The sequence below is a fragment of the Homo sapiens genome, chromosome X (assembly GCF_000001405.40).
Source record: "Homo sapiens chromosome X, GRCh38.p14 Primary Assembly".
Taxonomy (NCBI): domain Eukaryota; kingdom Metazoa; phylum Chordata; class Mammalia; order Primates; family Hominidae; genus Homo; species Homo sapiens.
This window is the reverse complement of record NC_000023.11, coordinates 65,009,936-65,034,790: the sequence shown is the minus strand read 5'-3', so window position 1 is coordinate 65,034,790 and position 24,855 is coordinate 65,009,936. Positions and strand designations below refer to the sequence as shown.

General features: G+C 40.1%; 1 protein-coding gene across 2 annotated transcripts in view; it reads left to right on the top strand.

The window, feature by feature from the left end:
• The window catches only part of ZC4H2 (zinc finger C4H2-type containing), a 118,935-nt gene continuing 94,129 nt past the window's right edge, over positions 50-24,855 (top strand). For both annotated transcript variants that reach the window (NM_001243804.2, NM_001178032.3), the window contains exon 1: positions 50-162. The gene's annotated coding sequence lies outside the window, so the exon portion shown is untranslated. The remainder of the gene's footprint in view (positions 163-24,855) is intronic.

Genomic DNA, 24,855 nt, shown 5'->3' with positions numbered 1-24,855 from the left:
GGCGCCCGGCCGCCGTTGCCTAGCAACTGTGCGCATGCGCCCCACCCCTGTCGGCGACTGCTGCCACCGCTGGCGCCGCTGTCGGAGCTCAGACCAGCAGGCCTACGACCTAGAAAGTGCTCAAAACCCCACTTCCTAAGGCCTAGAAGGAGCGACGTGAAGGTAAGCGTGGGTGAGGAGAGGTCCAGGATGCTCTGCAATTCGATAGGCCCGAGGACTTGGGATACGACCGTCTCCCAGCCCCTCGACAGGCACCTCTGCGGTTAAGAGTGACAGTCCCAACAACCTCACTACTTGTCTCACTGCCTTTTATTTGTCTTTTATTTGTTTTTATTTTATTTGCCTACGTATTTGTCTTGGCTCCTCCAATTCATCCTTCACAAGGGCTGCCAGGGTAATTTTCTAAATAACTTCTCTGACTATGTCACTCGTCTGCATAACTCAGGTGGTTAAGGGTCACCTCCCTTAATAGGGCCTAACAATTCTTGACTACTGCAACAGCATACTCTCTGGTTTCTTTGCCTTTAGACTTGTCTTTCTGCAATTTGTTCTCATACTTCTACCAGTGATCAAATGAAAATCTAATCTCACTTCCTTCTGGCTTAGAGAATGGGCTTTGAAATTACAGCCAAGTTTGAATTTCTGCTCCACCACCAAGTAGCTCTGTTTCCTTGAACTAGGAATTTTTTTTTTTTTTTTTTTTTGACAAAGTCTTACTCTGTCGCCCAGGCTGGAGTGCAGTGGCGCCATCTCAGCTAACTGCAATCTCTTACTTCTGGGTTCAAGAAATTCTCCTGCTTCAGCCTCCCAAGTAGCTGGGACTACAGGTGCAAGCCACCATGCCTGGCTAATTTTTGTATTTTTAGTAGAGACGGGGTTTCACCATGTTGGCCAGGCTGGTCTTGAACTCCTGACCTCAAGTGATCCGCCCGCCTCCGCCTCCCGAAGAGCTGGGATTACAGGCGTAAGCCACCGTGCCCGGCCTGAGCTAAGATTCTTAACCTGTCTAAATCTGTTTCCTTATCAGTAAAATGGGGATAATTATAATACCTATAGAGTAGTTATGAGGATTAAATGGAAAAGTGAATGTAAAGCACTTAACATACATAACTTACTGTGGCTCAGAGTAAGCGCTTAGTAAAAATTGGAGTTATTTTTCAATAGATTCATTATCTATAATAAAGGAGAAAATACAGATTCCCTAGCTTAACATTCAAAGTCCTCTAAGATCTTGCCTCTATTTTTCTAGCCCTAGCTCCTTCCACACCCCCTTAGGCACCCAGCCACAGACCAGTTTTTACCTTTTCTGAGACACATCTAGATCTATAAAGTGCTTAGACATATTTCCCAAAGGTTCACCTGGGTAAGAAATCTGCATAAACCCTCCAGTTAATTAACATGTAAATATCCAGTGATTCTTCTAAAACTACACTTTTTAATTTTAAAATATTGACACTGAGAATTGACATGTAGGCAATGGCTACGTACAAACTTGTGTGATATTCTAGGGGCTTATTTACTTGATCTTTTTGAAATTAGGTTTAGAGGTTCTGTATTAAACTTAATACAATGTATAAACATATTTACAAAATGTGCCCTGCTGGATGTTTATTTAATAAAATATTTAAACATTTTAGAAAGTGTAAAAATAGCTATGCCATGTGTAAGAACTTTAAGAAGCCCTATAATAAGTGCCAGTGAAACATTAGTGGAGGGCCAGGCATGGTGGCTCACCCCTGTAATCCCAACACTTTGGGAGGCCGAGGTGGGCAGATCACCTGACGTCAGGAGTTCAAGACCAGCCTGGCCAACATGGCAAAATCCCTCCTCTACTAAAAATACAAAAATTAGCCAGGCGTGGTGGCACTTGCCTGTAATCCCAGCTACTTGGGAGGCGGGGGCAGTAGAATCACTTGAACCTAGGAGGTGGAGGTTGCAGTGAGCCGAGATGGCACCATTGCACTCCATCTAGGCGACACAACAAGACTCCGTCCCCCAAAAAAAAGAAAGAAGGAAGGAAGGAAGGAAGGAAGGAAGGAAGGAAGGAAGGAAGGAAAGAAAGAAGAAACATTAGAGGAGAGCTCAAATGGACTGTCAAACTAAAATGAAACTTTATACAGACCAGCCAAAAAGTACTGAAGAAAGAGAAGAACAATTGGAAAGGCGAAAAAGAGTGAATCACTCTAGAACTAATTAAGTAGAAGTATCAGATTGGAGATCATCAACAAGCTGGAACCAATGTGGAAGACCATAACATAGGGAATATATATTACAATTATGAATGTGGAAATGAGCTTGGATAGAGTTCTCACACAGCTCATACCTTTCCTTCCGTATGGAACAGACATGCCTTTCAGGTTCTAAGGAAAACAATTCCCTAGTGTTCAGCCTTTTCTAATGACCATCAGTAACTCACAGGGACAGACTTTTTACAAAATTTGCTTATATCTTCTAAAACCTGTATTTTACCACATAAAACCTATATTCTCTGTTCACTTATTGAACTAATCACATTCTATCACACATTTTTTTATCAGTGTATAGAGAAATACATATATAAAATGCTGCTAGTCATCTTTAATTCTTCTGTGTTCCTTTCTATATAAAGAACTGTGCCACTGCTGTACTTAAACTCCTTCAATATCTTTCCTGGGGTTTCAAGATAAAATCTGAGCTCCTTTGCCCACATCAGTGCATCTGCCTTTACTACGATAGAAAGGTAAAAACTCCTACAACAAACAGACCTCTCTATATCAATATGGAAAAAAAAGAAAGCTGATTTATTATTGAGTAAGCACAACAGAGTACATGCATATAAGTAGCCTTCAAGAGACTGCAAATTCAAAATAAAATTCTATACAACTTATATATTGCAACAGTCCACTTGAGAATTGAGGCAGCTATTTGTTTAGTTAATTGAATTCTTCCAACAGAATAATAAAACTTTTCTTACCTCCCTAAAGATACCTCTAGTCTTCCTGAAAGACAAATGGTTACACCTTGAGATGGGCTCCTACATTAACTTTGAAGACATGTCTTTACATTTCAAAGAGAAATGTGACCTTGACCTTGGAAATATGTGTGCATTATAAAACTGGAGACTGAGACTCTGTAGTCTCTGGAGAGATTTATCTACATTCCAAAAGTTAGAGAAAGGATAAAGGTTCACTCTGTCCCCCAAGGAGATACATTAAGAAGCTAAGGAGGAGAAAATAATATATTTCTCTTTATTCACCTTCTTTTCATTTCTTTTTTTTTTCCTTATTCACCTTCATTTACCTTTACAATTACAAATCAGTGAGTTCTTCAAAAACAGAACTCTGTGCTGGCACAGTAGATGCACCTAGTAAATCAAGAGTAGGTCTTCCTTGAATAAATAAAGTCATAGAAGAAGATGTCAACAGATGAGTGGGAATTTGCCAAAAGGGGATAAAAATATCCCATGCAAAGGAAAAAGTATATTCAAAAGCCCAGAAAATTTGAAAGTGCATGATGTGTTCAGCAAAAGTAGAAAAGTGTGACTTATGCATATTTTATCTGTATTTATGGGCTGGGAAGTGTAAAGTTGTAATGGAGTTGAATATAGAGAAGTAGGTTGAGCAAAAGATTATGAAATGCCTTGTATGCCATGCCAAAGTTTGGAAAAGGTCTATATCTCATGGCTAAATACGGTGTTAAAGAAAATTTTTCATGATACTTGTTAAAGATGGTAAGAAAGATTTAATTTAAGGAGGATTATTATTATGGAGTTTTACAGTAGGGGAGAGAGATGAGGCTCAACTCTGAGTCCAACAAGGGAGGGAGTAACATTTATAAGTGGGAATTTATAAACAAGGAGCACAGTGGAGGCATCAATTATTGGAAAATTACTAAGAGGAAACATTAAGTCTAGGGGAATTCTTGCTAAACCAACATGATGGAAATCTTGCTAAAGGCAGACCAGGGTAATAAGATATCAGGGGTGGGAGATGAGATATCTAATCAGATATCCAGAATGATCAGATACCAAGGGTAGGGGACTTCCACTAAACTGACTCAGCAGGATTCTTGCTAAAACTGAACTAAGCAAGCCAAGCTTAGTTGAGAAGAAGGCTCACAAGGACCTGACTCAAATTTGGTCAAGCAGAGAGTCTTTGTCAAAGGCAAGGTACTATTACTTGTTTAGGAGTCTAGTACAAATATTAGACAGTGCTCCAGCCCCAAAGAGCTTATAATCTAATGATGCAAGAAGACAAGTTAATAAATAATTTACATAAATGAAATCATAAATTGACAGATGTATTTGTGGAGGAGGATATAGGATTGGAAATAGACTTTGAGTAAAGTTTCTGAGAAAGCTCCTTGAATGAGTTTGTCTTGACATATAATATAAAGGGTCAGCTAGACACAGTGGTTCACTCCTGTAATCCCAGCACTTTGGGAGGTCAAGGCAGGTGGATTGCTTGAGCTCGAGACCAGCCTGGGCAATGTAGCAAAACCCGGTCTGTACAAAAAAAAATACAAAAATTAGCTGGGTGTGGTGGCATGTGGCTGTAGTCCCAGCTACTCGGGAGGCTGAGGTGGGAGGATGACTTAAGCCCAGGAGACAGAGGTTGCAGTGAACTGCAATTGCTCCACTGCACTCCATCCTGGGCAAGAGAGCCAGACCCTGTCTCAAAAAATAAAAAAGAAAAATAAAAAAATAAAGAGTCTCCAGAATTGAAGTAATTCCTAGAATTTCAAACACTTGAACCCTTTGTGTCTGTATGCTATAGATCTTCATCTTTTGTTCACTGTTTCCATTTAAGCTCCTCTGAAGAACATCACTATGACCTTTTAACGCAAATTGATGTTGCCACAGATTTAGTTTCTCATCTACGAACTACTTGGCAATCCTTTTTTTTTTTGGTCAGTCCTTCTCCAGTTCCCCTCAGCTATTTCTCCAAACTTTAACCATTCTCCACTATGGCAGATGACCTCATCCTTCACACAGCAAATCTGCCACCCAACTGGTGACTTTATTACCTTATGTTCCTTAAAAAAATTGCAGGTTACAGGAATTTTTCTCACCTACAATCTGCATCTGCTCCCATATTATACCCTTATTCCTCCAGTCTCACATAGACTAAATCTCCTATTAGAGCTCCTGATCTTTGTCTCATCTAGCACCTCAGAGGTCTTACCCACTTTTTCTTTCTATCTCACGTACCTTACAACTGTCCGTCTCAACTATATTATTCTCCTCAGCCTGTAAACATACTCAAGACTCTTCCATTCTTAAAAGACATACTCTCCTGTGATCCTGGAGCCTCCTTCAGTTTCCTAGAAGTGTCTCCTGTTACCCTATCATGTTTCCTTCTCACCCAGAGGTCTCAAAAGTGGTTATCTTACATTCACTGCCTCTATTTCTTCACTTCCCATTCACCCTCCAACCACTGTAATAGGGATTTAACCTCTACCTCTCCACTAAAACCTATTTTGTTAAGAACACCAGTTACTGACAAATTTCCCTATGCAATGGACACTTTTCAGTATGTTTGTTATTGGACCTCACTGCTACATATGATAGTATTGATCATTTGGGTCTGCTTGAAAGTTTCTGCTCCACTTGATTCCAGACATACATTCTCTGTTCTTTTCCTTCCTCTTTATATTTTTTATTTATGTAACTTTCATGGACACTTCTCCTTCAACCTACCCCTAAAACGTTAGTTTTCCCCCTCCCATAGTTCCACTCTTGGCCTATTTCTTTTGTTCTACTCTCCATGCTCTATTACCTGCACATGGATGACTTTAAAATATATATTACTAGCTCAGACCACCGTCCTGAGATCTAGATAAATAGGTCCAACTGTCCACTCAACATCCTGACTTGGATGCCACCCAAGCAGTTCAAATTCAACCTGTCCATGCTTGAATGTATTTTCCCATGCTAATGGGTTATTTGTCTTTGTTGGGGTAGATTCCCCAAAAAAATTTCCCCAAAGAGAGGCCCGGCACAGTGGCTCATGCCTGTAATCTCAGCACTTTGGGAGGCCAAGGCAGGTGGATCAGGAGTTTGAGACCAGCCTGGCCAACATGGTGAAACCCTGTCTCTACTAAAAATACAAAAATTAGCCAGGCATAGTGGCTCACGTCTGTGGTCCCAACTATTCAGGAGGCTGAGGCCTGAGAATCACTTGAACCCAGGAGGCAGAGGTTGCAGTGACCCAGGATGGCACTACTGCACTCCAGCCCGGGCTACAGAGCAAGACTCTGTCTCAAAAAAAAAAAAATCCCCAAAGGGAGACCCTGGTATTGTCACATAATGATTTCACCTTCTCACAGAAACAGATGAAATGACTGCATTATGATCATTTTATGTGACTCAAGCCAAGACTTCTGTACTTTTCCTGAAAAATAAGCTGCATATATGCACCAAGGAAGAATAAGTTGAATCACTAGAATTGAAACTTCATGAAGACAGGGATTCTTGCCTACTTTGTTCACTGCTGTATCTCTAATGCTTAGAATAGTACCTGCCACATAGTAGGCTCTCAATAAATCTTTGTTGAATAAATGAATGGATGAATTTGTATATCCTCTTCTTAAAAGCCCTCTGGGAATTCTACTAGATTATAGCAGCTAGCTAGCTAGCTAGCTAGATAGCTGGCTAGACAGATATAGATAGATATCAATATATATACATAGATTAGGGAGGTATATATCTTTTTGTGTCTGAAATAGGACAAAAGGAAATTATAACTGCACTTCACTCAGATTTCTTCCTATTGAAAGTAAAGAAAAAGGAGGCAGAGAGGGATAAAAACCACTTTATCTGCCTCTTGGAATAGCCATTTGGTAGTTCTTCAGCTCTTCCAGGTGCTCAGATCTCTGCTTTAGGAAAATCTCCTTTGTAGTATGCCTTCAATTCCCGCATGACGAATGTCATCTTCTGGAATCAAGACAATTCAGACAACTGAAGATGCCCACTTCAAACAGAAGGTTGATCTGGACCTCATTTGGCATTATATTCAATAGCGAATAAAGGACACATGAAACCCTTTGCCTGATCTCTGTCTCTTGGTGTGCTGAAATTTCTGTCTCACTGAGACCAAACAAAGCAAAGTATGATCTAATCCCAAGAGTGGATGCACTTCTAAGTTTGGTAGGCCCCCAACGGTCCTATTGTCCCTCTCTGGGTAGGTGTATTTTACCTTGTCTCCCAAACCAAAAACATAAAGGTCACCTCAGACTCTCTCTTCTAACCTCCTACATCTAACTAAGTTAATAAGCCTTGCTGATTCTATCTCCTAAATATCTCTCATATTCATTCATCATTCTTTTACACCTGCACCACCACCAATTTTGCCTTAATTTATTTATTTCCTCCTAATTTTTTTCAGGAGTATTTCAGCAACTTCCTAATCAGGCTCCTTACCTTCATTCTTACCTCTCTTCCAAACCATCTTCTGCACTGCCTCTTGAATAAGTTATCTAAAAATGCAAACCTTACCAAATTCTCTCCCTGCTAAAAACGTTTCAGATCTATTCCCCATTCCTTATTGATTACACTTCAAGCTCCACATTACTTTTCATAATCTGTCTCTTTTCCAGCCATATCCCCTACCATTCTCTACATTCTACTTCATGCTCAGGAATCTAATACTACTTGCAATTCTGTGCTGAGCATCACCCTTCTTGGAGCTTCTCTTTCCATCACTTCCATCCTAATGTTACTGTAGAAGTTTTTAATGTTATGTGACCCGTTGGCCACAGTTAACCAATCTGGAACTATTATAGTCCTTCCTTGGGAGTCTGGAATCTAGATTAAGATATTTCATCGTGGTCTGGTTGCTTTCTTATGCTGAGCAGTATAAACTTCATAGCTGTTGGCAGCAGCAACTTTTCTACCATATGGTCTGGGGAAAAAGAAAATGCTGGTCTGCTATAAAAGATGAGGCAGAAACACAGAGAGATGCAGCAGTGAAAGAGGGAGAGTGTCCAGATAGCAGCTGAGTTCCTAGCTGCAGCTTATTCCTTGAAGCCCACCTGCCTTCCTGTTTTTGGGTTCCATAAGACACTTCTCTATCCTTGTGCTAAATTCCTTTTTTTTTTTTTCCTGAGACGGAGTCTCGCTCTGTTGCCCAGGCTGGAGTGCAGTGGTGCGATCTCGGCTCACTGCAAGCTTTGCCACCCGGGTTCACGCCATTCTCCTGCCTCAGCCTCCCGAGTAGCTGGGACTACAGGCGTCCACCACCACGCCTGGCTAATTTTTTGTATTTTTATTAGAGACAGGGTTTCACCGTGTTAGCCAGGGTGGTCTCGATCTCCTGCCTCGTGATCCACCTGTCTCGGCCTCCCAAAGTGCTGGGATTACATACGTGAGCCACCGCACCCGGCCGCTAAATTCCTTTCGTTGCTCAAGCTAGTTTGAATTGAATAGCTGTACAAACATTCTGCTCTCCCATATTAAACTGCTTAGCTCTTCTGCATCTTTGCTTATTCTTTTCCCTTTGCCTGAAAAACAGTAGTTCTTTCCACAACCATTTTGCCTGAATAATTTATATTTGTAATGGCCCTTTTCCTGTATCTGGAAGGTACCTATATTTCTACTCTGCCCTTCATTCCTTCCTCCCCAAAGGGAAATATTTCTATTATAGGTCAGATGGCATGACACTGATTAGGTCAGATTTAATAAAGGGTGGGGTTGATATTTGCAAATAGGTCTCATGCCCATTCGTGGTCCTTCCATTCCTATTCCTCCTCTGTCCCTGTGGGTGGATACTGTAAGAGGGCCAGGGCCTACCTTGAGGCAGTTTCAGCAATGCTCTCTCTCTCTGTACCTAAGCAGACTGGCATCAATTCAGATTTATGTGTTATGTGGCTGGGTCAGAGGACCGTAACATTTGGATTTGAGCTTGGGGACAGGAATGCCATTAGGGAACCTCATTAAGGCTTCAAGTGAGCCACTTTTTAATCACATTTTCCCATAGCTTTACACAGAAAATATTTTGTGCAGCATCCTATGTTTAGTAATCAGAGTTGCAGCTGGTATTTAGAGGGGAAGAGATTCTCTCCTGAAGTAAGAGATCCCTGGGGGATGTAGACTGAAGAGGAGAGCTGCACTTAAGCTAGATTACAAGGCAGAGTTCCACATGGAGAAAGCAAAATTCTCCTTATGGACTCTATGGATAAAAAATGATTTTGGTTTGCATATTTTGGGGCATTGGTTGGAGGGATGGCATCTTGCTTTCCCTAATCCCACTCTCTCACTCGGAGCTGAGGAGTGGTATATTTCTCCAGACAGATCACATCTTGTTGTGGCAGGAATTTAAATGGTAGGAGAAATGTTTATATTACCATTTAGATAACCAAAGTCTGGAGAATTCAAAATCTGAAGGAAAGCAATACGATTATGGATGTTTGATAAGTGCCAATAGTAGCAGCACAGAACTAGTAAAGATTTGCAGCCTGGGCACCATACTGAGACCTAGTCTCTACCAAATATTTAAAAAAACTAGCCAGACATGGTGATCACCTGTGGTCCCAGCTACTTGGGAGGCTGTGGTGGGAGGATGGCTTGTGCCTAGGAGGTGGAGGCTGCTGTGAGCTGTAATTGTGCTACTGCACTACAGCTTGGTTGACAGAGCGAGACCGTGACTCAAAAAAAAAAAAAAAAAAAAAGCAAAAAACAAACCAACAAAAAAACCATGGATTTGGAATTTCATGAAGCTTTTAGAAAATAAATATGACAGCTCAACTGCTCTCTCCACAGGCAATTTCTTTCAGTTGAATTTTATTTTATTTTGTTTTCAGCTTTTATTTTAAATACGGGGAGTACATGTGTAGGATTGTTATGTGGATATATTAGACCAAGTAATGAGCATAATACTCAATAGGTGGTTCTTCAACCCAAGCCCCTCTCGTTTTCTCCCCTTTCTAGCAGGTCACCGTGTATATTATTCTCATGGTTACATTCATGTCTACTCAATGTTTAGCGGCAACTTACAAGTGAGAATATGTGGTATTTGGTTTTCTGTTTCTGCATTAATTCACTTAGGATTATGGCCTCCAGCTCCATTCATGTTGCGAAAAAGACATGGTGTCATTTTTTATAGCTGTGTAGTATTCCATGGTGTATATATACCACATTTAATTGATCCCATCTACCATTAATGAGCACCTGGATTGATTCCATGTCTTCGGTATTGTGAATAGTGTGGCGATTAACATACAAGTGCATGTGTTTGTTTGTTTGTTTGTTTTTTTCATATAATGATCTATATTCTTTTAGGTATATACCCAGGAATGTGATTGCTGTGTCAAATGGTAGCTCTGCCTTAACTTCTTTGAGACATCTTTAAGCTGTTTTCCACAGGGGCTGAACTATTAATAATTTACAAATTTACATTCCAACCAACAGTGTATAAGTGTTCCCTTTTCTCTGCAGCCTCAACAGCATCTGTTGTTTTTTGACTTTAATAATAGCCATTCTGACTGGTGTGAGATGGTATCTCATGGTGGTTTTGACTTGCATTTCTCTGATGACTAGTGATGGTAAACTTTTTTTTATTATACTTTAAGTTCTGGGGTACATGTGCAGAACATGCAGGTTTGTTACATAGGTATACACATGCCCTGGTGGTTTGCTGCCCCCATCAACCCATCATCTACATTAGGTATTTCTCCTAATGCTATCCCTCCCCTAGTGCCCCCCCACCCGCCGATAGGCCCCGGTGTGTACTGTTTCCCTCACTGTGTCCATGTGTTCTCATTGTTCAACTCCCACTTATGAATAAGAACAAGTGGTGTTTGGTTTCCTGTTCTTATGTTAGTTTGCTGAGAATGATGGTTTACAAATTCATCCGTGTCCCTGCAAAGGACAGGAACTCATCCTTTTTTATGGCTGCATAGTATTCCATGGTGTATATGTGCCGCATTTTCTTTATCCAGTCTATCATTGATGGGCATTTGGGTTGGTTCCAGGTCTTTGCTATTGTGAACAGTGCCACAATAAATGTATGTATGCACGTGTCTTTATAGTAGAATGATTTATAATCCTTTGGGTATATACCCAGTAATGGGATTACTGGGTCAAATGGTATTTCTAGTTCTAGATCCTTGAGGAATCACCATACTGTCTTCCACAATAGTTGAATCAATTTACACTCCCACCAACAGTGTAAAGCATTCCTATTTCTCCAGATCCTCACCAGCATCTCTTGTTTCCTGACTTTTTAATCATCACCATTCTAACTGGCATGAGATGGTATCTCATTGTGGTTTTGATTTGCATTTCTCTGAAGACCAGTGATGATGAGCTTTTTTTTATATGTTTGTTGGCTGCATAAATGTCTTCTTTTGAGAAAAACTGAAAGCATTCCCTTTGAAAACTGGCACAAGACAAGGATGCCCTTGCTCACCACTCCTATTTAACATAGTATTGGAAGTTCTGGCCAGGACAATCAGGCAATAGAAAGAAATAAAGTGTATTCAGTTAGGAAAAGAGGAAGTCAAATTGTCTCTCTTTGCAGATGCCATGATTGTATATTTAGAAAACTCCATCATCTCAGCCCAAAATCTTCTTAAGGTGATAAGCAATTTCAGCAAAGTCTCAGGACTACCATTGACTTTCTTCACAGAATTGGAAAAAACTACTTTAAATTTCATATGGAACCAAAAAAGAGCCCTCATAGCCAAGACAGTCCTAAGCACAAATAACAAAACTGGAGGCATTATGCTACCTGACTTCAAACTATACTACAAGGCTACAGTAACCAAAACAGGATGGTACTGGTACCAAAACAGATATATAGACCAATGGAACAGAACAGAAGCCTCAGAAATAGCACCACACATCTACAACCATCTGATCTTTGACAAACCTGATAAAAAGAAGCAATGAAGAAAGTCATTGGTAGTTTGATGGGGATGGCATTGAATCTATAGATTACCTTGCGCAGTTTGGCCATTTTCATGGTATTGATTCTTCCTATCCATGAGCATAGAATGTTTTTCCATTTGTTTGTGTCCTCTCTTATTTCCTTGAGCAGTGGTTTGTAGTTCTCCTTGAAGACGTCCTTCACATCCCTTTTAAGTTGTATTCCTAGGTATTTTAATTCTTTGTAGCAATTGTGAATGGGAGTTCACTCATGATTTGGCTTTCTGTTTGTCTGTTATTGGTGTATAGGAAGGCTTGTGATTTTTGCACAATGATTTTGTATCCTAAGACTTTGCTTTCAGTTTTTACCCATTCAGTATGATATTGGCTGTGGGTTTGTCATAAATAATTCTTATTATTTTGAGATGCATTGCATCAATACCTAGTTTATTGAGAGTTCTTAGCATGAAGGGGTGTTGAATTTTGTCAAAGACCTTTTCTGCATCTACTGAGATAATCGTGTGGTTTTTGTCATTGGTTCTGTTTATATGATGGGTTACATTTATTGATTTGCATATGGTCAACCAGCCTTGCATCCCAGTGATGAAGCCAATTTGATCATGGTGGATAAGCTTTTTGATGTGCTCCTGGATTTGGTTTGCCAGTATCTTATTGAGGATTTTCGCATTGATGTTCATCAGGGATATTGGCCTGAAATTTTCTTTTTTTGTGTGTCTCTGCCAGGTTTTGGTATCAGGATGATGCTGGCCTCACAAAATGAATTAGGGAGGATTCTCTCTTTTTCTATTGTTTGGAATAGTTTCAGAAGGAATGGTATCAGCTGCTTTTTGTACCTCTGGTAGAATTCGGCTGTGAATCCGTCTGGACCTGGACTTTTTTTGGTTGCTAGGCTATTATTTCCTGCCTCAATTTCAGGACTTGTTACTGATATATTCAGGGATTCGACTTCTCCCTGGTTTAGTCTTGGGAGGGTGTATGTGTCCAGGAATTTCTCCATTTCTTCTAGATGTTCTAGTTTATTTGCATAGAGTTGTTTATAGTATTCTCTGATGGTAGTTAGTATTTCTGTGGGATCGGTGGTGATATCCCCTTTATCATTTTATATTGCAGCTATTTGATTCTTCTCTTTTTTCTTCTTTATTAGTCTGGCTTGTGGTCTATCTATTTTGTTAATCTTTTCAAAAAACCAACTCCTGGATTCATTGATTTTTTGAAGGGTTTTTCATGTCTCTGTCTCCTTCAGTTCTGCTCTGATCTTAGTTATTTCTTGTCTTCTGCTAGCTTTTGAATTTGTTTGCACTTGCTTCTCAAGTTCTTTTCATTGCGATGCTAGGGTGTCAATTTTAGATCTTTCCTGCTTTCCCTTGTGGGCATTTAATTAGTGCTATAAATTTCCCTCTACACACTGCTTTAAATGTGTCCCAGAGATTCTGGTATGTTGTGTCTTTGTTCTCATTGTTTTCAAAGAACATCTTTATTTCTGCCTTAATTTAGTTATTTACCCAATAGTCATTCAGGAGCAGGTCGTTCAGTTTCCATATAGTTGTGAGGTTTTGAGTGAGTTTCTTAATCCTGAGTTCTAATTTGATTGTACTGTGGATTGGGAAACTGTTATTATTTCCATTCTTTTGCATTTTCTGAGGAATGTTTTACTTCCATTTAAGTGGTCAGTTTTAGAATAAGTGCGATATGGTGCTAAGAAAAATGTATATTCTGTCGATTTTGGGTGGAGAGTTCTGTAGATGTCTATTAGGTCCACTTGGTCCAGAGCTGAGTTCAATCCTGGATATCCTTGTTAATTTTCTGTCTCATTGATCTGTCTAATATTGACAGTGGGGTGTTAAAATCTCCCACTATTATTGTGTGGGAATCTAAGTCTCTTTGTAGGTCTCTAAGAACTTGCTTTATGAATCTGGGTGCTCCTGTATGGGGTGTATATATATTAGGATAGTTAGCTCTTCTTGTTGCATTGATTCCTTACCATTATGTAATGCCTTTCTTTTCTCTTTTGAGCTTTGTTGGTTTAAAGTCTCTTAGAGTCTAGGACTGCAACCCCTGCTTTATTTTTGCTTTCCATTTGCTTGGTAAATATTCCTCCATTCCTTTATTTTGAGCCTATCTATGTCTTTGCACATAAGATGGGGCTCCTGAGTACAGCACTTCGATGGGACTTGACTCTTTATCCAGTTTGCCAGTCTGTGTGTTTTAATTGGGCATTTAGCTCGTTTACTTTTAAGGTTAATATTGTTATCTTTGAATTTGATCCTGTCATTATGGTAGCTGCTTATTTTTCCCATTAGTTGATGCAGTTTCTTCAGAGTGTCAATGGTCTTTACAATTTGGTGTGTTTTTGCAGTGGCTGGTTTTGGTTGTTCCTTTCCATGTTTATTGCTTTCTTCAGGAGCCCTTGTTAGGCAGGCCTAGTGGTGACAAAGTGTCTTAGCATTTGCTTGTCTGTAAAGTATTTTATTTCTCCTTCACTTATGAAGCTTAGTTTGACTGGATATGAAATTCTGGGTTGAAAATTCTTTTCTTTAATAATGCTGAATATTGGCCCCCACACTATTCTGGCTTCTAGGGTTTCCACTGAGAGATCTGCTGTAGTCTGATGGGCTTCCCTTTGTAGGTAACCCGACCTTTCTTTCTGGCTGCCCTTAACATTTTTTCTTTCATTTCAACCTTAGTGAATCTGATGATTATGTGTCTTGGGGTTGCTCTTCTCAAGGAGTATCTTTGTGATGTTCTCTGTATTTTCCGAATTTGAATGTTGGCCTGCCTTGCTAGGTTGGGGAAGTTCTCCTGGATAATATCCTGCAGAGTGTTTTCCAACTTTGTTCCATTCTCCCTGTAACTTTCAGGTACACCAATCAGACGTAGATTTGGTCTTTTCACATAGTCCCATATTTCTTGGAGGCTTTGTTCATTTCTTTTCACTCTTTTTTCTCTAATCTTGTCTTCATGCTTTATTTCATTGAGTTGGTCCTCAATCTCTGATATCCTTTCTTCTGCTTAATCGATTCAGCTGTTGATACTTGTGTATGCTTCATGAAGTTCTTGTGCTGTGTTTTTCATCTCCATCGGATCATTTATGTTCTTCTCTAAACTGGTTATTTTAGTTAGCCATTCATCTAACCTTTTTTCAAGGATCTTAGCTTCCTTGCATTGGGTTAGAACATGCTCCTTTAGCTCAGAGGAGACTGTTATTACCCAACCTCTGAAGCCTGCTTCTGTCAATTTGTCAAATTCATTGTCTGTCCAATTTTGTTCCCTTGCTGGCGAGGAGTTGTGTTCCTTTGGAGGAGAAGAGGCGTTCTGATTTTTGGAATTTTTAGCCTTTTTGCACTGGTCTCCCCATCTTCGTGGATTTATCTGCCTTTGGTCTTTGATGTTGTTGACCTTTGGATTGGGTCTCTGAGTGGACGTCCTTTTTGTTGATGTTGATGCTATTCCTTTTGGTTTGTTAGTTTTCCTTCTAACAGTCAGGCCCCTCTGCTGCAGGTCTGCTGGAGTTTGCTGGAGGTCCACTCCAGACCCTGTTTTCCTGGGTATCACCAGCAGAGGCTGCAGAATAGCAAAGATTGCTGCCTGTTCCTTCCTCTCGAAGCTTTGTCCCAGAGGGGCACCTGACAGACGCCAGCCAGAGCTCTCCTGTATGAGGTGTCTTTCGGCCCCTGCTGGGAGGTGTCTCCCAGTCAGGATACATGGGGGTCAGGGACCCACTTGAGGAGGCAGTCTGTCCCTTATCAGACCTTGAATGCTGTCCTGGGTGATCTGCTTCTCTCTTCAGAGCTGTCAGGCAGGGGCATTTAAGTCTGCTGCAGCTGCGCCCACAGCTGTCCCTCACCTGGGTCCTCTGTCCCAGTGAGATGGGGGTTTTATCTATAAGCCCCTGACTGGGGCTGCTGCCTTTTTTTCAGAGATGCCCTGCGCAGAGAGGAGGAATCTAGAGAGGCCTTCTGGCCGCAGTGGCCTTGCTGAGCTGAGGTGGGCTCCATCCAGTTCAAACTTCCTGGCAGCTTTGTTTATACTCTGAGGGGAAAACTGCCTACTCAAGCCTCAGCAATGGCAGACGCCCCTCCCCCCACCAAGCTTGAGTGTCCCAGATCGACCTTAGACTGCTGTACTGGCAGTGAGAATTTCAAGCCAGTGGATCTTAGCTTGCTCAGCTTCATGGGGATGGGACCTCCCGAGCCAGACTACTTGGCTCCCTAGCTTCAGCCCCCTTTCCAGGGGAGTGAACGGTTCTGTCTCGCTGGCATTCCAGGTGCCACTGGGATATGAAAAAAAAAAGCTCCTGCAACCAGCCCAGTGTCTGCCCAAATGGCCGCCCAGTTTTGTGCTTGAAACCCAGGGCCTTGGTGGCGTAAGCACCGGAGGGAATCTCTTGGTCTGCTGGTTGTGAAGACTGTGGGAAAAGCACAGTATCTGGGCAAGAGTGCACCATTCCTCAAGGTACAGTCTCTCACGGTTTCTCTTGGCTAGGGGAAGGAAATCCACCAACCCTTTGTGCTTCCCAGGTGAGGCAACACCCCACTCTGCTTCGTCCTGCCCTCCATGGGCTGCACCCACTGTCCAACCAGTCACAATGAGATGAACCAGGTGCCTCAGTTGGAAATGCAGAAATCACCCACCTTCTGTGTCAATCTTGCTGGGAGCTGCAGACCAGAGCTGTTCCTATTTAGCCATCTTGCTGGCAACCAATGAACATTTTTTCATGTTTGTTGGCAGCTTGTATGTCGTCTTTTGAGAAGTGTCTGTTCATGTATTTTGCCCACTTTTTAATGGAGTTATTTAGTTTTTGCTTGTTGATTTAAGTTCCTTCCTTATGGATTCTGGATATTAGACCCTTGTCAGATGCATAGTTTGTGAATATTTTATCCCGTTCTGTGAGTTGTGTTTATTGGTGTTTTCTTTTGCTATGCAGAAGCTCTTTAGATACTGGCATTGGTGGTTCAGTGGTAGAATTCTCAGTTGAATTTTATTTAATGGGTTATAGACACTACACAGTTAGCACAAATTGACAGGCATACAGATGAAGTTAAAACCCCAATTTTTTTCTGTTTCACCCTCTATCCTTGTTATCTGAACAATAGGCTTGGTAACAGCAATATGATAATGTTATTTTTGCTTAAGATTGTCGTAAGCATTTGATCCTACATTTTATGAGTGTGGAACTGAAACTTGAGAAAAGTGGTATCCAAGGGAGACTTGAATTTGTATCACTGCAGCTTCAGAAGTGCTGGAGGAGTTACAACCCTAGTGAAATATAGCCAAGCATGCAGCTGCTGAAGGAAAACAGACTCCACCTAGGAATCTGGTGAAACCTCCTCTGGCTGAGATACAGCAAAATAATAAATTGGGGAGAAAGTTATTTTTGGCTTTAATTTCTTTGGGAATTCAATTTCTACATAGTACATAGATTTCAGCATGAAATTTTAACTTTCCTGAAACTTAATACTTAGAGTGGTTTCATATTGTTCAAATGTAGACATTCTGATATTGCTGTTCTGATGTTGCATTATTTGGACTATGCTACCATGCAGTACTCATTGAACCAGGTTGGAAAATTGTAGCTATGCATAATTTCGTGTGTGAAATAAAATAGCAAGTAAATGTTTGAACTGTTGTGCAGCTTTGGTCCTAGGAGGATAAACAAAATAATTGATGAGTGTCAGGGAGATGGTGTTAGAAAAGGAGGGGTAGAACTCATGGGTCTTCCCTCACAAGGGGGATGGTTATGGCTGACCATCATCTTGACTATTAAGCCCAAAGAGGTGAGAGAAAAAATGCAGAATAATCTAAGGGGAGAGGAGTCCCGATGGCTCTTTTCACATCAGAAATAACTCTAGCAGATGGTTTCCACATGTTTTCCTACTATTTTCTTCCCTCTTTCTAAACGGAAGGGAACATCAAACCAACAGATCAGAATGTGAGACATGCCTGGATCACATTTACTTGTAGGCCAAAGAATGGGAACACTAGACTACAGACCAGGCAGCTGGGCAAAGCCTTGGTCTCAGCTGCTCCTCCTTCCATTTTGCTGGGATCATCAAAGTTCTTTCTTTTTAGCTATATGCAGCTGATAGAAAGGTAATATTTTTATTCATCCTTAGTTAGGGAAATACTAGACTCTCTTAGAACTCTAGCCAAGTACTTCAAATCAGGTTTCCCAGAACTCTGTATTAGACATATTGGGCCCTGGTCCAACTAATAATAACATGATGCTCTGTTCCCAGTTTTTTAATTGTTCTGTTCTCAGGGAACAATTGAGAATTAAGAGTAAGGCAGAATCTGAGCATTCTTGGTTATTCTAGCCAAAACCAACAAAATCTCTTCACATTCCCAATACGATTCATCTTCTAACTTTATTCTAGCAGGTACTTATGGGATTATCTACTCCAAAACTCTCTCTAAAAAGTCTGCTCTCATCTTTTTTGTGCATCCTACAACCTACATGGTTGCAACAAGAGTTGTTATATTATTACAACATGATCATACTCCCTAAACATAGTTGATTGGACCAGGGGATAAGTACATTATTTCAGGCGGGCCAATCAATACTTTCCCTAGGGTAAAGAAGCAGCATCAGCTGCATCTGTCTCTTTTATCAGAAAAGCAAGAGCTTTTCCATAAGCTTCCCCAGGTGATTCCCACTTAAGATCATTGGTCAAAACTGGGTGCATGGCCACCCTGACTTGAAGGAAGCTGGGAAAGTTAGTATCTCACCTGAAGCTGGCCACAATGATGCCCAGAACCAATTTAAGTCTCTTTTTGGCAAAAAAGAAAAGGGGAATGGGTATTAGGAAGGCAATTAACAGGGTCGGCCACATTAATATATTTATTTATAGATATAATGCAAAAATAAATTTGCTAAATATAAACCTAGCTGCCTTGCAAGGAGAGTAATTCATTTTAAAAATGAACTTTTTTGGCTATATATCTTTATGGATTGGGGTAAGCAAGCTAGTAGGAAGGAATTGGGGAGGATAAAAGTGTTCTGCATAATAGAGGGGAATGTGTTTGAAACTATGGGAGCAATCTTGGAGGGAGAAGACTAAGAGAAGAGATGGGAAGAGGAGGAAGAAGATGATGAAGACACGTGGTTCCTGCTCTGAGCTTTCTCTTTACCTCCAAATCTTTAACAAAGTCTAGAACTCATGAAAGTATTATTGTGAATAGATTTCTTGTATAAACTAGTGAAGGGTTGAGGTCCATATGTATACTGTATTAAAATGAAATATGTATAGGAAGTGCAGATGCAGGAGGCAGAGAAAAGAACCTGAGAAAAGAGTGTATAAGCCCCTGGGATTATCATAGAATCATGAGGAAAGTCAGGAGTTCACATATCATGGAATGAGAGAGGCCTAAACCAATTATTCCAAGATCTTTGAGGAGTAAGGCTAACCCAGCCAACATTTGGATTTTATGTGTTTCTTGTCCTTACCAAGTGGTGATCCCCTTGAGGAGTGAGGTGCCATCATACCCATCATTGCATGGAACATAGTAGGTAATCTATAAATACTTGTTGAGTTAAATTGAATAGACCTGACCTATATTGAATTTCTCAATATGCCTATTTTAACTCCTTTAGTAAATTAGACTGTCCATTAAGAGTGTGTCTGATTCAGTGTTTTATTAAATGAGATGCCTAAAACATAGTAGGTGCTTCAAGGGCCAATTTTCAAAGCCCTGCTTTTATGGAGAGAAATAATGTTCCAGGTAATCTGAGTCCTATTTCTAGCATGCTCTGGAATACTGGTTCTGATTTCTTGGCATTTTGTTTCCCTTAGGCTGATATGAAAAGGAATTTTTATTCTCAAGCAAATATTAATTGATGGCAGGGGAAGGCCACACAGATACATGCTGTGTGGCAGAGGGAAACCAGTTTGGGATTTTAATTTGCCACCAATGATTAGCCAAATGGACAATCAAGAATTGGCAGTGTACAGCCATTACTCACAATTAGAAGTTGTTTAGGCAGTTCATTTATTCTAAGTATAACTGGGTACAGAAACAAGACTGGAATTATAGACACATAATATTGAGAATTATATGAAATTGTAGGTGATTTTTGCTTTCTGTATCATTTTGTGCAATTTCATGCTACTGAATATGTTCATAAATGTTCTTTAAAATAAATTCAGTTCAGTTTTGTTGATGGGACTAGAACTAACATTTACTGAATAACTATTATGTGTTGAGCACTACACTACACACTTTATAAATATATCATTTAATCTTTGGAGATAGTTTATTCACCCAATTTTATGGATTATATAACTGAGTTCCAGAGAGGCAAAGTGACTTTCCCACAGATTACAGCCAAAAAGTGCAAATATGAAGACTTAAACCCAGTTTTTTCTGTAGAGCTTGGTGAAATATGAATTGCTGAGCTTCCACAGTTCCTCCCATGAATTGCTCTCACAGTTTTTGACTTAGTAGTTTTAGGGAAAGGCTGAGAGTTTGCATTCTAAAAGTGCCCAGGTTATGCTGACTGTGCTGTTCTTGGAATGACACCATGGGAACCATAGCTCCAGGGAATCTAAGTATATAAAAGCCTTAAGTCATCTCATCTTGGGTTTCCAAATCAGTGTACCAAGGCACACTAGTGTGAATTATAAGTGTGCAGAGGAATCCCTTTTGCCCTCAAAATGGTTGTGTAGGACCTAGGGAAACTAGTCACTCAAGCCACAAGCAGCCCTGTTGTTTACCTCCGGTGTGCTATACATACAAGTATTATTTTCTGTCATGTAAAAGGAATTAGAAAGCACCCATCTAGTCCATCCACTCATGAGGCCTGAATCCTTTCTACAAAAATCTCTAACAGATAGTCAGATTCTGCTTGAATTCCTTCAAAGATGGGGAACTCATTCACCTATGAAATATTTAGTTCCAATTTAAGACTGCTCTAACCTGATTATTATAAAGCTTTTTTTTTCTACACAAGCAGACAGCTGTGAGAAGAGAGAGCAGAAGAGAAAATATCTGAATCATGAGTTGTTAGCCCATGGCAGAATGTTTAAATGGATGTTCTGGAGTTGTCCATCATTTCTTTTCTGTAATTGTTTTGCTGCATAACAAATTACCCCTAAAATCTAGCAGCTTAAAACAGCTGACATTTATTATCTCACTGTTTCTGTGGGTCAAGAATCCAAGCATACCTTGATTGAGTCCTCTGCTTCAGGGTCTTTCACAGGTAACTATCAAGGTGTTGGCTGGACTCTAGTCAGCTCGAGACTCACCTTTGGTATAATCTACTTTCAAGTTCAGATGGTCGTTGGCAGGATTCAGTTATTTGTGGATTGTTGGACTGAGGGGCCTCAGTTCCTTGCTTGTTATTGAAGAGAGACTGCCATTAGTTCCTTGTCACAAGAGCTTTTTCAACATGGCAGCATGTTTTATCAAGGCCTGCAAGCTAAAAAAAATCAATAAAGAGAGTCTGCTAGCAAGAGGGAAGTTGCAAACTTTTGTAACCTAATCTAGGAAATGACATCCCGTGAGTTTTGCTATATTCTGTTCATCAGAAGCAAGTCACTAAGTCTAGCCTGCCCCTAATAGGAGGGGATTACACAGAGAAATGGATACTAGAAGGCAGGGATCACTGGAGCCACTTTAGAAATTTACCTATTACATGAATACTTCCACACTCCTTAGAATAGCTATCCCTGGCAAAGCCCCAACAAGGCAACCCTCCTCACTGTTTCCTGATTGCCCTGGGTTGGAGGTTAGACACTGACTTGGATTAGACCACACAGAGACTATATCACTTGCTGCAGGGATTTGAGCTGGCAGGTCCTTGTATCAGAGACTTATAACTGCCAACACGGTATCCATTTCCATTTTCTTCGTTGCTAGCACGCCTGAGATTTTTTTCAGGTCCACCATGTGCCTAGTTCACTTCCCCTGCTCCCTTTGCATGCAGCTTGGTGTGGCCATAAGACTAGTTCTGGCCAATGAAATGTAAGGGAAAATTTGTCGAGCATTTCTGAAAATGCTTTTCTTTCCCAATAAAAAGAGACAAAAACAGCTAGAATTTCTATCTCTTTCTTTATCTTTCCTGCCACGAATATGGATATGATGGCCGGAATTGAAGTAAACACCTTGCAAGCACATGGAGAAGGTCACTGAAATGTTAGTCCTGCTATCATTGAGCTAATCTATCAACATTGATAACCCCCTGCATCTATACTTATTGAATGAGAAAAACCCTTGTTTAAGCCACTGTAGTTGGAATTGTTTATTGCTGCTGAAACCATGCCTACCTGATGTAGTCATGTAGAGAACTGGGACTTACATTTTTGGGCAACTATGATTAGCTAAGCACACTCGGATAGTGAACAGAGGATAAATTTAAAAATATGATTGTTGAGCAGATGTTTTGAGAGAGGAAGAAGTAAGATTATGTAGTACAAGAGAGAGTGAATGAGAGCAAGAGAGGGAAAGGTTTTCCAGTTCTCTGAGACATAACTTGGTTCTTCTAAGTGTGTTACACAAGAGTCTCTACTGTATCATTACAATAACCCTCAATTACTTGAGCTAATTTCTGTAACTGGCAACCAAACGTGCCTTGCATGAATACTTGAGTTATTTTTTTAAAGCATGTGACTTAAAGATTGCAATTAATGTACTAGATTTCTTTCTTTTTTTTCTTTTCTCTTTTCTTTCTTTCTTTCTTTCTTTCTTTTTTTTTTTTTTTTTTTTTTGAGACGGGGTCTTCTGTCACCCAGGCTGGAGTGCAGTGGCACAATCTCGGTTCACCGCAACCTCTGCCTCCCAGGTTCAAGTGATTCTCCTGCCTCAGCCTCCCAAGTCGCTAGGATTACAGGCTAATGTACTAGGTTTCTTTATGGCTTTCATAGCTGTAGAGCTACCTAGACTGGAGTCTGCCAAACAACTACATTAATGTAGGCCACTCAAAGATGGCATGCCTTCATGCCTGTAATCCCAGCACTTTGGGAGGCTGAGGCAGGTGGATCACGAGGTCAAGAGATCGAGACCATCCTGGCCAACGTGGTGAAACCCTGTCTCTACTAAAAATACAAAAATTAGCTGGGTGTGGTGGCATGTGCCTGTAGTCCCAGCTACTCAGGAGGCTGAGGCAGGAGAATCGCTTGAACCCAGGAGGCGGAGGTTGCAGTGAGCCAAGATTGCACCACTGCACTTCAGCCTGGCAACAGAGCAAGACTCAGTCTAACAACAACAACAAAAAAAAATACAAAAAAAAAAGATGGCATACTTTATCCCCTGCATCTGACCATTATTGGCCCCAGTCACTGCAGATTGACTCACCAGGGAACTCGTTCACTTCCACAAAATATTTGTTGATGTCCATCTCAATTTGTGTCCCAGATCTATGGGGTTGTAATTTTCTTGGTTTACTACCATAATCTGATTGTCAAAAAAGACTGTAAATTGCATCCTGGGAGAAGAACTTCACTGCCACCATACGTTATACAAATATTGAAATTGGGTTCCAGACCTCTCCCTCACCCAGGGCCTCGCTAAATCCAGCTAATTCTCTCACAGACCAGAATCACATAAGAATTGAGCCAGGAAAATGGATTGAGCAAAGGGGGAACATGGTGTAACACAGTGGAAAGAATATGGGCTTTAGAGTCAGACAGACTCAAATCTAGCCTCAGTCACTTAGCTAAGCGACCCTGAAACAAGTCACTCACCTTTTTGAGCCTCGGCTTCCTCAAAAGTGATATAAGGATAATAATACCTATCATAGAATTATAGTGAGGAACAAAACTATCAACATTTGTAGAAAAGCTCTTTGCCTTATGCTTGGCATGATGAAGTTTTTTTTTGTTTGTTTGTTTGATTTTTTATCTAAACCTTAGAAGAAAAAGACTGTTTATTCTGTTTCTCAGCTACCAACTCAAGATCCAACTTAAATCTCATTTATTCTGAAAGCCTCAGCATTAAGCTGAAAAAACTAATTCACCAAAGAGGTTATCTAAATTTTTAAATTTCTCTGAGTTTATGCAGGTATAATCAAATACTACTTTCAATAATTGAAATAACAGTTTGAAAATAGTAACTATGAAAATAAATTCTGTATTTATATTAAATAATCTCTCCATGTCCTATCAACAAAAAGTTCATCATATTGGCTTTAAATTATGTTTTACTGAATATATTTAAAGAAATGCATATTCTAAAATATGTCAATAAAGGAACATGTGGTCTTTTCCCTAATTATTTTATGTGGCTTAAGAAATATTTTGGAAAAAATCTTACTGACATACTCAGTCTAAAAGATAAAGCTCGTCTGAGCTCCAGTAAGAGGAGAGATTTGGGGAGGAATAAAAATTAATTTGTGGCTCTTTTACAAAGTATCTCATCCCCTAATCCCACCCTTCCCCTACTATGGGATAGCTTCAATAGGAGTGGAATCCCAAAAAAGATTGGAAATATTCCTTATGGGAATTTAAGTCAATCCCAAAGAAAAAAAAAGATTTGAAAGTCCTGAATTATTTGAGTATAACTGAGAAAAGCCCTAATGTGACTTAATATATCTGGACTTTACTAGGCTAAGTTTTCTGTCACTGGACAGGAAGCGGACTTGAGGTAGTACTAAGTTTGATTGTAAGTAAAGTTACAATGTTTGCACATCTGAGTGTGCAGATTGAAAATAAGATGTCCATTACACATGTGAGCAGAAACACAAACAATAAGGGTCTTCAATTAAGAAAATAGACAATTCCATTGTGGAGACCAACAGAACCAGAGGGAAGAGAAATTTTAAAAAGACCAAAAGAGAAACTAAAGGTTTATCCTAATTTGTGAGTGGTGGGCACTTGGAAGTTGATGCATCCTTTTTATGGTTGTTTTATACATTAGTTTAGGCTAATAGATAGTAAAAAGTCATTGTCTTTATTCAAGAATGTGAGTTCAATAATTCTCAATATGTTCCTTTGTCTTCACAAATTCTGGCATTAAATGTGACTGCTCCAGGCATTCCTACCTAGGTTATGTAGTGTCAG